General features: G+C 38.3%; 1 protein-coding gene across 19 annotated transcripts in view; it reads left to right on the plus strand.

Moving 5' to 3' along the window:
- The window catches only part of BBS9 (Bardet-Biedl syndrome 9), a 506,483-nt gene that overhangs the window by 471,432 nt on the left and 21,187 nt on the right, over window positions 1–13,864 (plus strand). For 12 of the 19 annotated variants that reach the window (NR_145413.3, NM_001348038.3, NM_001348039.3 and 9 more), the window contains 2 exons: window positions 4,149–4,259; window positions 4,479–5,353. The exons of 1 other annotated variant lie outside the window; for it this stretch is intronic. Coding sequence is in view for 15 of the 18 variants with exons in the window: in NM_001348038.3 (NP_001334967.1) it covers window positions 4,149–4,259; window positions 4,479–4,510 (143 nt within the window). In the remaining 3 variants the exon portion in view is untranslated. Of the gene's footprint in view, window positions 1–4,148; window positions 4,260–4,478; window positions 5,354–13,864 lie in introns of those variants that run through there. 6 more of the 19 variants (NR_145412.1, NR_145411.1, NM_001348036.1 and 3 more) reach the window with 3 other exon arrangements.

Below are 13,864 nucleotides of genomic sequence, written 5' to 3' on the forward strand. Positions count from 1 at the left end.
TGAGCCATCAGTGGAGTCAACTCCAGGGCTCACTATGGCTAAGGCTGGGGCTTCTGGTGCCCAGTCCTTCTGTGTCCCATGCCTCCATCTCTGGATGATGTCTTGTTACCTTGGGCTGTGGGCTGCTGCCTCTGAGCCAACTCAGGTACCGGCTGCCTCTTACTCTCTCAGTTCCGTCTCTTCAGGGAGCCCTGGCTATGGAAAACCAAAGCTGGAAAGAAAAGTATTTCCAGGCTACTTTTATTCATGGGGGCCCCATTACAAACTTCCTTGGAGGTGAGGAGGCACAAAATGATCTGGGGTAACATTGTAGGAAAAGGGGCAGGGGGAGGGCCAGTAGAAGAAAAGCACACATTACTATCAATACATTTACCCTTGCGAAGTGAGGGCACTGAGCCCTTTGTGACAGCGTTATTTGAGGATGGAGTGAGTTACTGTACTGAAAATGCAAGGTAGAGTGCTCAGCACACAGTAGGTCCATGGGATTTTAAGTCTCCTGCCCTCCTCGAGGCGAGACGCTTGCCTGATTTCCAGGCCAGAAGCCTGCAGTTCTGCTTGTCCTTGCCTGAGGGCTCATTTGTGTCACACTTGCCATTGTGTTTGGATGACTTCCTCCAGCTGCAGCTTTTCTTCCCCTTCTCCTTTTATGGGATGGACTCTAAGCCAAGGGTACTTCATCTGGAGTCCATAGAACCCAGGCTTCATTTCCATGGATGACCTCAGAGAGTTTCAGTTTGTTTGGAAGTTTTATATTTTATCTATATTCTTTTGTTTGCTTAACCTTAAATTTTTAACAAATACATATTTTTTTCCTAGCAAAAGTATCAGATATACTCATCTGTTGTTTCTTAGCAGATGTCAATTTAGTAGATGTGGGATGGGGCCTGAGATTCTGCATTTCTGACAGGCTCCCAGGTGATTCCTGTTCGGCTGGTGTGATCTCATTACATGAGCAAGGCCAAAGAGGCCTTCCGAATTTGTGGACTTACCTCCCATTGCCCATTAGCCCATGAGCTGCCATTTTCTTTTTGCAAGATACGCAGTCATCAGAAGCAGCATCTGAAATCCTTATAATTACATGCCACAGCCCCTTGATCTCCCAGTGTCTTGACTTCTGCCTGCACATCATCCTAGTTAAGCATGGGTAAAAGCATAAGTAATTGCACACCAGGGGCTATTACCATCCCGTTCACCTCCAGCTATGGAGCCCCTAGTGCTTTCAGATGGATGGCCAGTCTAACTTCAAAATTCCATTGTGAAGACCTACTTCTTGTTATACAACTACTCCCAGTATCAGTGATTTTCTCAAGAGGACAGAGCCTGGGGCAAGGATTAAAGTGATGGCTGTTTGAGAACACAAACTCAGGGAAGGGAGGGTGAGGACAAAGGGCAGCAACCAAGGGAATATGTGAGGCCATGCAGAGTGGTGCTGCCTGCACCTGGGAGTGCCTCTTTCCAAGAGCCATGAAGAGGCTGAGCAGGTGCAGCTACACAGCCCTTTTTTTCGAGGCCTACAGAAGAGAACTAATCATCTGGCATATTCCTAGTTGGTGGGAGCAGAGGGGGAATTCTCTGCTCAGCTTCGGCTTCTTTTCTTTTCCTATGATGCACCCGCTGGGCAGGATGCCAGAGCCCACCAACATTGTTCTTCCCAAACTGGAAGTGGCAGACACTCTGGGTGTGCTGTTGGGCAGTCTGGCTACAGGAGGCATCCAAAGAAAGGGGGGTGGTACCAGGCAGGGTGGCTCACGCCTGTAATCCCAGCACTTTGGGAGGCTGAGGCAAGCGGATCATCTGAGGTTGGAAGTTCGAGACCAGCCTGACCAAGATGGAGAAACCCCATCTCTACTAAAAATACAAAATTAGCTGGGCATGGTGGCGCATGCCTGTAATCACAGCTACTCATGAAGGCTGAGGCAGGAGAATCGCTTGAACCTGGGAGACGGAGGTTGCGGTGAGCCGAGTTCACGCCATTGCACTCCAGCCTAGGCAACAAGAGCGAAACTCTGTCTCAAAAAAAAAGAAGGAATGAAAGAAAGGTGGGTGGCATTCCCAGGGCAAGTGGCTGGTCAGCCCTTGCTGTGGGTGTGGAGTCTGAGGAGGTGCATGCAATCTGTGTCCACTACAGCACCTGAAGGTTAGAGCACCAGGGCAGGGCACCTTGCCGTCTCTGTATGTGGGATAGGGCAAAGAGAAGAGAGGAAATTACGTTCATTGTTGATAATCTATAGCAACTGGCTTTTCCTTTTGAGCCCACGTGATAGAGAACTAGGAAGTCTTCTATTTCTGTTTTGTCAAAATACTGAGTCAGCTGGAATGAAAAGGACACTAATTTATCAGTGGAGACCTGCCTGTCCCCAAGCACATGGCAGCTGTCTTAACTGCTCATCAAACTCGCTCTCATCTGTTGGCTGGGGGACGTCTCTTCCTTGCTCCTGAAGTTGTCTTGTGTGTGAAGGCCGCTGCCTGAGTACAGCATTCCTGGCCTCCCCCACCTCCCTCTGTCTCAGGGATGGAGAAGTGACTTTTCTGCCTTTTTTTTTCAGGGTTCTGTTCAGCAGGGTGCACATCCCTTCTTTCTGCTCTTCCCTGTCATTAGTCTTCCAGGTCTCCCCTCAGCCCCTGCCACCACCGCATATACCCTTTGCCTTTTTACTCAGTTGGATGAGTGTAAAGAAGAAGAAAAGAACTGGCTTTTTGGGCCTCTCCAAAGGTCTCAGCCCCACCGTGTGACAAGACTGGAGTTCTGTGACATTGGCAAGTTACTGAATCTCATGAGACCTCAGTTTTCTTATAAAATGAGAATAATAATAATACCTATTTCATGGTGTAGTGTGTAGGAATTAAGTGAGATAATATGGGCAAGATTTCTAACCCTTAGAAAGTACTCAATAATGATAGTTCTTGTTACTGTGATCTACAGGCTTTGGAGAGATTAAAAATAAGCCTGGTTCTCCTTCTGGGTAAGGCCCTTGTCATTTTCGGGTATGGCTGGGCAAGTTCCATTGCATTGATGGATAATTCTAATGTTTTCTATTCAGGGAATCTCTGAGGATAGCTCTAATTCTTATTTTATGAGTGTGGAAATGTGTTTCTCTCATTTCCCTCAGCATCGATTTCTGTTTCAGAGTTGATGCAGAGGCGTGGATAGTAAGGTGTGTTTTCCTTCAAACCTGGGATCTTGCCACTTCCCTCTCATTTGAATGATGTGGTTTTGAAATCAGTGCTGCTGATACCCTCTCTTTCCTCAGAATGATGTGAGCTTCATAAACCCCTTTATGCATAAAACCAAACTTGAGAGCTGAGGCTTTGGACTCTGTGTGTGAGAAGCCTCAGAAAAAGAAATCACACTTCATTAACAAGAAGAATGGCTTCGGAAAAAAGCATGTACAGTATACAACATGTTAGTACATTTCCAGGAAATGATGGCAAATCAGTCAAATCAAGTTGCAGATGTAGTCAGGAAATTCTCTCATGATTGTGAGTTTCCCATACAAGATTTTGGTGGATAAAGTCAAATGAGTTATACCCAGTACTTCAAAAGCACAGCAGTGCCAGCTCATCCTCAAGTCACCTTTGGATTGAAATCTTCCACAATGCAGTTCATGACTTTGCTGTTGAATTATGAAGTGTTTGTGTCTGTGCTGTAAGGTGTTGGGATTCAGGAATAGAATCAAATTCCAGAGAAATACCACCACAACCACCGTCCCAGAACACCAGCAACCTTTCTCTTTCCTCAAGGAAGGCTTCTTTCCCTCATGGTTCATGTGCTTTGCTTCTTTTATAGTTTCTGATGCTCTGGTATTAAAGGGAATTCCTGCCGAGGGGCCTTTATATTCTGGATATCACATATGCTATAGGATAGGTTTTGTCCTTTCTGACTTTAAAAAGGATAAATTTAAAGACAATACTGTTGCTGCTGTTGCCAAGTCATAATCAGTATAATATGTCTTTAGGGGCAGTAATTCATTCCCAGTATTCTCACCAAAAAGAAACATTTAAGGTTATTCTTTTCAGGCCACTCCTGAAGATTGTTGTCACGTCATTTATTATCTTTATGATCAGTGTGTTCCTAAGCTATGATTGCTGTGTAGAGAGGCAGATTTTCTTACACATTGCTTAAAATATTGTTTGTATTTTTCAACTAGGTGGTTGTACTACAATCCCAGAGTCAGACCTAGAAGAAAGATCAGTAGAACAAGACTCTACAGAACTGTTTACCAACCACAGACATCTCACTGCAGAGACACCCAGGCCTGGTAAGAGACTGGATGGCCTTCACAAGCGTTAGTTAAGTCAGAAGCAGTGACAATCTGGTCAGTTTTTGTCATACCAGAGAGCATTCCGCAAAGCTGCTTGTTTTCCAATTTCTTCATTCTTCCCCTTAGCACTGGTGCAGCTGAATTTGATCCTTTGTGTATTCCTGTCACTATTCAGATCTTTTCTCTCTCTTTCTCTCTTACTCTCTTTTTTTCCAGAAGTTTCACCCCTCCAAGGAGTCTCGGAATAATTCAAGTAGAGTTGTTTGGTTGAGAGGAACATCCCCATCTCAAGGCCGAACCTGTGTGAACCTCATGCCAAGCACAGATATAGGGCTGGCGCAGGTGCTTCCTAAAGCTCACCTTCCTGGAGATGACATGCATAGAAAGAGGGGTTGGGACTTTTTACTTCACTAGGAGAACTTGTAACACCATGGGGAAGTCAGCTGAAACTTGTCTTGTTTTGCCAGGAAAGGAAGTAGTTGCCTTTGGTCATCCATCTGCTAATAGTCACAGAATACAGTGAAATGACATAGTTTTGGGTTAGATTTTATAATGCAAAGATTCAGATCCAAAATAATTTCATACCCCATTTTTTCACAGAATTCTTATATAGTAAATGTATCAAGTTTAATAAAGCATCTCATTGTCAAATAATATCTTGGATTTTATTTATAATTAGAGGGATTTATGAGTGATTGCTCTACATTATTTCTTCAAAGGAAAGGAAAGGAATTGAAGACTTTGCTACTCTCTGGTAAGACTTGAATGTGATTATTTTATAAATAAAAGAACCACTATGAAACTTTCATGTGATTTGTTCTATTAAGCTAAACGTGGAAGAAGGGAAGTTTTCTAGTATTGTATGAAAATGTTTAAATATTTTCAAGGAAGCTAGTACATTAACATCCCCTTTTCATTACCCCATTGGGTGGCACCTTTTAAAAATCCAGGTTATTAAAGGATTCACACTTTATTACAGTTAAAATTTAAGGTTTTTATGTGTAAGAAGTGAAAGAAACTTTGCTAATTTCAAGTTCGAATTACAGTTGTGAGATTGATTTATTTAAATAAAAATATGCCTTTGCCAGTTTTGGAATGCCTCTCAGTACAAAGGGGAAAGTTGTTCATGGTTTTTCTATATGTGAAATGTCAAAAAAAAACTGCAGAGGATGTATTACTTATTATTTGTAGCATCCTCTTTTAGGAGATGCAGATATATTATCAAAATAACATCATTATGATCATTTATAGCCATGATATGAGCATAAAATTTTACTGAAATTATCATTTTCTCTTTAAGTCCTTTATGTCAAAAAGTAAACCTATCAGTGAAATACAAAAACAATTATAGAGATGGTTCTGAAAGAGCAACAGAAGGCTGTGTGGATTCTATTGGATGCTGTCTTCTCAACGGCCTTGTGATTTATGCAGTGTTGAATTAGCTGGCATTATTTTTATGTTTTAGCAGGTGAACTATGGAAGCTATGTGGACATTACATGCATTAAGGGTTTTGTTGCTTTGGACTGGAAAATATATAACTTATGGTACGGCACAACTGCCAAGGCCTAATCAGAGTAAGATGCCTCTTGGAATAACCACTTTCCCCAGTGCTTAATGTCTGGAGCAGAGAGGGTCTCTATTCTGGCTAATGTGGGGAAAACGTTACCAACACCCTACTTCCCAGATTTTTTTGCCATCATTTCATTTTAATTGTAAACTCAGACCCCAACCCTTCACTTCAAGGCTCATTTTGAATCAATTATCTCCTTATCCCTACACCAAGAGCCACATTCGAGGTCCTCTTGGAATAAGTGGACAAGGCATCATGGACTGTACTTTTAGCCCTATTTTCTGGCCCTTTATTATATTCTCCTCGTTTTTGTCTTTTTATTTTGCTTCAACATTTAGTGTATTCTCTCTTGTTGTGTCTCTCTTATATGCCCCTTAAATCATTTCTATAATGGAATGGGGAAATGAATATAGTCCCACTGTCTCCTCTTAAGGTTCTCCTAATCACCTTTCTTGGCATTCATCTTCCGCTCTTTAGAATCCCTGGAGAACTCTATGCCTCTCTACATACCTCTCTCTTACTTATTGTATTTCAGAAGTCATGTTTTCCTTTCCTGGTAGGATAGATTTGCAAGCTCCTTGGACATAACTGTTCTTGGATTCTTTTCGCTGCTTGGTAAATATTTGTTGTATCAAAAGGTCAACTAATCTCCTAAAAGAAGTCAACAAGTCATAGAGAAATGGAGAAGCCGGTGATTTAGAACATTGTGGTCTAACCTTCCTAATTTAGTATTTCAGTTTATGCTGAGAGGAAGCTGATGTGACTGTCCTACTATTTTTTCTTAAATTTGGCTTTGAAGAGAGATTTGAATCTTGAAAATTCAATACTTAATGATTTTGTTCATGAGTACTTGGGTAACATTGATTTAAACACAGGATTCAGGTTTTAAATAAGATGAATAAAAATTCTAATACAACATTAGTTACAAAAATGAACATTTATTTAGAATAAGAAAAGAATAACAAGTCACATTTGTAAAAAGCTGATAATCACCATATATATCACAAAATCTATACAAATATTTATATTAACTACTTGATATACCTTTTTAACAATTCTGCATTTTCTTGCACACATTTCTTATTCACTTCTTTAATTATAGACAATTTGTAATTTCATTTTGTATACAGTGAATTAAAAGATAATTTTTTCTCTGAAATTGTTGATCAGACTTTTTTAAAAAAAATTACTGATAGTTTGCAAAAGCTTCTTTCAGCTTTACAACTCATCATTTGTAATGTCAGCCAGGTTTTTAGGATTATATTATCAGGGCATTTTAATTTTTCTTATGCAGTGATACATTTTAAATAGCCATGCAATTGATAGCTCTCTTTTTTTTTTTTTAGATAATTTCAACTTTTATTTTAAATTCAGGAGGTACACATGCAAGTTTCTTACCTGGGTATACTGGGTGATGCTGAGGTTTGGGGTACAATTGATTCCATTACCCAGGTACTAAGCATAGTACCCAATAGCTATTTTTTAACCTTTGGCCCCTCTCCCTACCTCTAGTAATCCCCAGTGTCTATTGTTGTTATCTTCAAGTCCATGAGTACCCATTGTTTAGTTCCCACTTATAAGTGAGAACATGTGGTATTTGGTTTTCTGTTCTGGCATTAATTTGCTTAGGATAATGGCCTCTAGCTACATTCATATTGCTGAAAAAGACATGATCTTTTTTATAACTGCATAGTATTCTGTGGTATACGTGTACCACATTTTCTTTATCCAGTCCACCATTGATGGGCACCTAGGTTGATTCCATGTCTTTACTATTGTGAATAGTGCTGCAATGAACGTATAAGTACCTATGCCTTTTGGTAGAATTATTTATTTTCTTTTGGATATATACTCAGTAGTGGGATGACTAGGTGGAATGGTAGTTCTAAGTTCTTTGAGAAATCTCCAAACTGCTGTCTACAGTGGCTGAACTAATTTACATTTCCAGCAAAAGTGTACAAGCATTTCCTTTTCCCCACAGCCTTGCCAGCTATTGTTTTTTGACTTGTTAATAATAGCCATTCTGACTGGTGTGAGAGGGTGTCTCATTGTGGCTTCAATTTGCATTTCTCTGGTGATTATTGATGTTGAACATCTTTTCATGTTTGTTGAATGCTTGCCTGTTCATGTCTTTTGCACATTTTTAAATGGGATTATTTGTTTTTTGCTTGTTTATTTGTTTAGGTTCCTTATAGATTGTGGATATTAGACCTTTGTTGGGTGCATAGTTTGCACATATTTTCTCCTATTCAATGGGTTGTCTTTTTACTCTGTTGATAGTGTCTTTTATGATGCAGAAGCTCTTTAGTTAATTAGGTCCTACTTATCAATTTTTGTTTTTGTTGCATTTGCTTTTGAGGACTTACTCATAAGTTGTTTCCTAAGACCAATGTCCAGAATGATGTTTCCTAGGTTTTCTTCCAGTATTCTTATAGCTTGAGGTCTTACATTTAAATCTTTTATCCATTTTGAGTTAATTTTTGTATATAATGACAGATAGGGGTCCAGTTTTATTTTTCTTTCTATGACTAGTTACATATTCTAGCACCATTTATTGAACAGGGATCCCTTTCCCCATTGCTTATTTTTGTTGACTTTGTTGAGGATCAAATGGCTGTAGGCGTGTGACTTTATTGCTGGGTTCACTATTTTGTTCCATTGGTCTTTGTGGAAATTGACAACTCATTAGCCAGTTTATCATCAAAATCCTCATTGAAATGATCTTCATTACCACTAGTATTTTATTTCAAATCAGCAAGAAGATATTTAAATATTTTTCGAATATGTTCATGCGATTTACTCTTCTTCATTAGCTAGATTATTAGACAATCCAAAGTCTGCTTATTCTCTTTCAAATGTATCATCTCATCTTAATGAGTTAATTTTGGTATGATTTGAAAATGTTTTTGTTATAATTTGCTTATTGACAGAATAACTTTTATCCATTTTATATAGGAGTTAATTGGGAAAGTTATTTTATGATGAGTTTGTAATTGTATACTCTGAATTATTAAATATATTCTTAACAGGCAAGAAATTCTCCTTTGACTTGGGGTCCATGAAACTGGAATCTTACTGCTTCTGCTTTTACATGTCTGATGGTCAGGACGTCAGATTTCATATGTTTCAAATCATATTTTATCTCCAACACATTTATGCTTCTGGTGCCAGGCTGCATAGAACATGCTTATTTAGTGATACAGCGTTTTGCTCCACACCTTCCTCTTATGACACTGGCTTAAGTGAGAGCAGTGGGTGGTAATGATATTCCTGGAATCCATTCTTCCAGCAGAATAGCTATCAGTAATTTAACCATATACAGAGTTGTCTGTAATCCACATAAATATATCCAGTTAGCCCAAGTTGAATGTCTCCCCAACTCAACTTCCCTTTAGCCAGATTGTCAAGGCCACCACCCTTCCAATGCCTGCTACAAGGGGAAGACAGGCAGAAGAGACAGTAGTTTTCACCAATCATGATTAAAATGTCTTTTTTCAAATTGTGCAAAAGCATATGACCATACACCTGGGCAAGGAACTGCCCTGAAGTTTAAGCCTGATTAGCATCACAGTAAATCTGTTTATAACAGGAGAGAGTGAGCGAGCGAGATAGAGAGAGAGAATAGAAACTACACTTTAAATTATTGGTTTGTTAATTTCCTCCATGGTTGAAATAACTCCAAAATATGTATGGGATAGCACTATGAGTGTGGCGGGTGGAAAGGGCAGATTTTGTAAGTGTCTTATTTCTGTACTGCTATAACAGAATACCACAGACTGGGTAATTTATAAAGAATAGAAATTAATTTCTTAGCATTCTGGAAGCTGGGAAGTCCAAGATCAAGGCACCAGAAGGTTTGGTATCTGGTAAGGGTCCAACTCCCACTTCCAAGACGGCGCCTTGCATTCTCCAGAGGCAGGAAGCAATGCTGTTCTTTGCGTGGCAGAAGAGCCAAGAGAGGGCAAGAGAGAAAGAGGGAGTAGGGGGCAAAATTCAACTTTTGATAATGAACCCACTTTCAAGATAATGACATTAATCTCTTCATGAGGGCAGAGCCCCCATGGCCTAATCACCTCTTAACAGTCTCGCCTCTAAATACTGTTTCGACACGACTTTTGGAGGGAACAAACATTCAAACCATAACAGTAAGGAGGTATTCAAAATTCCCTTAAATATACTATAGGTCTTCTTAAGTTTGCCAGTGTGAGCCTCGACCTAGCTTTGGGCTCAAATGTAAGTACACTTTTACTTTTCATTTTTAGTAATTAATTGTTCCCTGAGAAATATCAGCAAACCTTTATGGACTAGCAAAACAGCAATTCTCTGTTCGCTGTCTTGGTTTTGTGGAGAGATGTTTCACCTTATACATTCAGGGACAGTTCTACTAATGCTTATTTCTTAGCAGCCACTCCATGAATTGTCCCAAAAGGGACTGAGTCAGTCTTGTATCTCAGTTGGCTGAAGGGTCGGTTTTAGATAAAAAGTTCACAGCAAGCTGTCAGATTGAAGAGGGCCCAGCCGCTTCATTGGCTCCAGGATCATCAGATTGGAGAAAGTGAAGAGGTTTAAAATGCTATTAAATTGATGAAATTCTGTTTAACAGGCTACAGTAATCATGTTTATTCCGTCTGGTACCAGTTCCAGAAAGAGAAGTTCATGATGTCACCTGTGAACTCTCATTTCTATGTGCCAGGCCTCCCAAAAGAACATTAAGATCATCTGAATATGAAGAACAGTTGGAACTAAATTCTTTTATGTAAACAAAAAAATCTAGAAACTTTATCTTCTCAGTTAGAACAGAGTACTGATTAAGCCCAGACACAAGTCACTTACCACTTTGTGAAATTTAGGTCTGTAATATTCATTGAATCCTTTAATATTATCTTCTTTAATATTATAATATTTAATATAATAATAATATAATATATTATAATAATGTAATATTATATATAAGGTATATTATATATAATATTAAAGTATTATATTTATTCCTTTATATAATATTATATATTATATGTAATATATAAGGTATATATTATATAATAATATTATTTAATTAATTAATATTAATTATTTAATAATATTATTATATAAGGTATATTATATATTAAATGATTGATATTTAATCCTTAATTAATAATTAATATTAATATATATAAGGTGTATTATATATAATATTAAAGGATTATATTTATTCCTTTATATAATATTATATAATATTATTATATAATAATATTATATATGGTATATATTATACCTTAAACCTTATATATAATATTATTATATAATATTATTATATAATAATATATAAAGGAATAAATATAATCCTTTAATATTAAAGGATAAAATATATCCTTTAATATTAAGAAGTTAACATTTCTTAACATCACCTCCTCTGATGCCTGGTTGTCTTTGTCCTTCATTTGAGTCCCTCCCATCAGTTGCATGTATATCATTGGTCCCTACAGTGGCACTGGCTCATGTCATCTCTCCCTTATCTTCTATTGTGTAGAAATAGTTAACAGATAACATTTAAGTGAACTGTTATTTATTTAAGGATGAAAATTAGGAAATTACTTTAGATCTCTAGTCGTTAAGTGAGGAAACTGAAGCTTTTATTTTACTAAGTCTTTTGGGATAAAAATTAAGTTACTCATTCCTTGGGGGAAAGTATGGTGTGTAATACTCATCTTTTGCACTCAGCAGCTCACAAAAATGAAAAAAGCAATCAACAAGTATTTCTGAAAGAAAACATTAAACATTCTCCAGACTTTAATCACATGAGGATGGATAGAGGATGAGAGTTGGGATTTATTTTCAACTTTTCCCCCAAAATGTCAATAACAAATCATAAAACACATACACACATACACATACACATACACTTCACATTCCCTACTTCTAAAACCAGTGCCATCTGGATCTGGTCCTCCCTTTCCATTTCAGTAACAGTGATGTACTTTTCCCCAGGCTGCCCTCCAATGTCATCACCTCCTCTGATGCCTGGTTGTCTTTGTCCTTCATTTGAGTCCCTCCCATCATTTGCATGTATATCATTGGTCCCTACAGTGGCACTGGCTCATGTCATCTCTCCCTTATCTTCTATTGTGTAGTCTATTCCTTCATCCCATCAAAGCTCATCTGCTAGGAGTCTTGTTTGCCTGATTATCCCAGTACCTCTTCCGGATGTTTTTCCAAGCTTTACTCATCTCTGTCTGGTCAGGGTTCATTCTATTTTTAGACAGCCACTCAAAGTCCACTTCTTTAAGGAGACAATATGATATAGAGAAAAGACCTTATGACTAGGAATCAGATGGCCTCAATTTTAGGCCTGGTCCTCTTGAAAAGGTGCTTTCTGATCTGTGTCAGTCACTTAGCCTCTCTTCACCTCATTTTTATATGCACTAAATAGAGATCTATTCATTCAACAGCAAAATTAAGTTGTTTTCAGACATTGTCCTGGGCACCAGGGCTCCAAAGAACAATAAAACATGGATCTTGTCCTTAAAGAACTTTCAGTTCAGTGGGGGAACAGAGAAGAAAATGGACAGTTGCAATACAAGATGACAAAAACTCAACTTTAGAAGAAAGTAATTAGGAAAGGGAGCTAGAAGATGTAGTTTAGCATCTCCAAGCTCTTATTATTTCATCTGCAAAGTGGGGGGCCTGTCCCACCTGTGTCACCATCCTCAAAGTATTGTTCTGGAAATCAAAGAAAAGGGCTTCAAATGCTTGAAAGAACCCTAAAATGTAAGACTGTTGTTCCCTATTGGTTGGAAGAGCAATTGTGAATTCTCCTTGATTAACGTCTTTTATAACCGTGAAATTCCTGTAGTGCTCTTTTACTTGTCACTTCAAAGTTTGTATATTTTCACTTCTCCATAATGTTATGGAGAATGTATACTGTGGTACAGGGGTTTTTCAGACTGGCTGTACATCAGGATTGCTTGGATAAGAGTTGGAAGGCTGTGAGGGGAGGGTTGGAATTGGAAATATGACTTGTATGCATCCCATTTAGTGTAGTGCCACACAGAAAAATAATACCTTCTATAAAGTGACAAAAACCTCATTCGCTTAAGTGGATATTTTTTGATCCTCGCAACAACCTCACTATGTTTGCAACATACACGAAAAAAAATTAACATCCCAAGTCACAGATGGAAAAGTGTAGGATCAGAGTATATAGTATTCCCTTAAAGTGACCCAGCAATGACAAAAATAGGTGACCTGGGCAAGAAGCCAAGGCTTCTTGTCCCCAGTCCGGGGTTCATTATATTACAGAGAAAGACATATCATGAATAACACCAAGGCTTGGACTTCTACCATTAGTCTAGAGTAAAGTGTTTCTCAGGCTTTGAAGACTTATGTCCTAATTTAAGAAAGAACAACCATACACTCTGTTTCTGCATGGCAGGCTATATGCCATGACTAACTCTACCAGTTGACACAACTAAATGCTGGGAAAATACAATAAATATGCCTTTTTATGATATGCTGAGCTGTCATGAAAAGCATGAAAACAGAAATCCTGAGAGGTCAGCCTGTGCCAAACCAGCTTTCACATTGATAGTTTCTGCTAAATTCTGTGTTGAACAACTTCATGCCAGTAAATACAAAAACTTCAGTGAAATGGTTATTCTTTTTAAAATACAGTTTTAAATTGACTAAACAAGAAAGTGAAAACTTGAATAATCCTATAACAATTAAAAATATCAGAAGTTAACCTTGCCACAAAAAATACAATAACGTGACACATGACTTTACAGGTGAATCCTACTGACATTTGCCTTATGGTTCCCATTACCCACCCTCTTTATATTGTAGTTTCTTTTATATTATGTATACATACATTTTTAAAATTCCGTCTGTACTTATTTGGTCCCAGATATAAGGAGCTTGGAAAACGTCACTCTGTCCTAACAAGGGAAAACCTGAAAAAAATCAGTAACTCTTCTTATCTGTCAGAGAAGTGAGGTCAGAGGGCAAACCACTGCCCTGTGGTTTGGAGAAAAATACAGGTGCATACAGAGA

This window comes from Homo sapiens, chromosome 7 (genome assembly GCF_000001405.40).
Source record: "Homo sapiens chromosome 7, GRCh38.p14 Primary Assembly".
Lineage (NCBI taxonomy): Eukaryota > Metazoa > Chordata > Mammalia > Primates > Hominidae > Homo > Homo sapiens.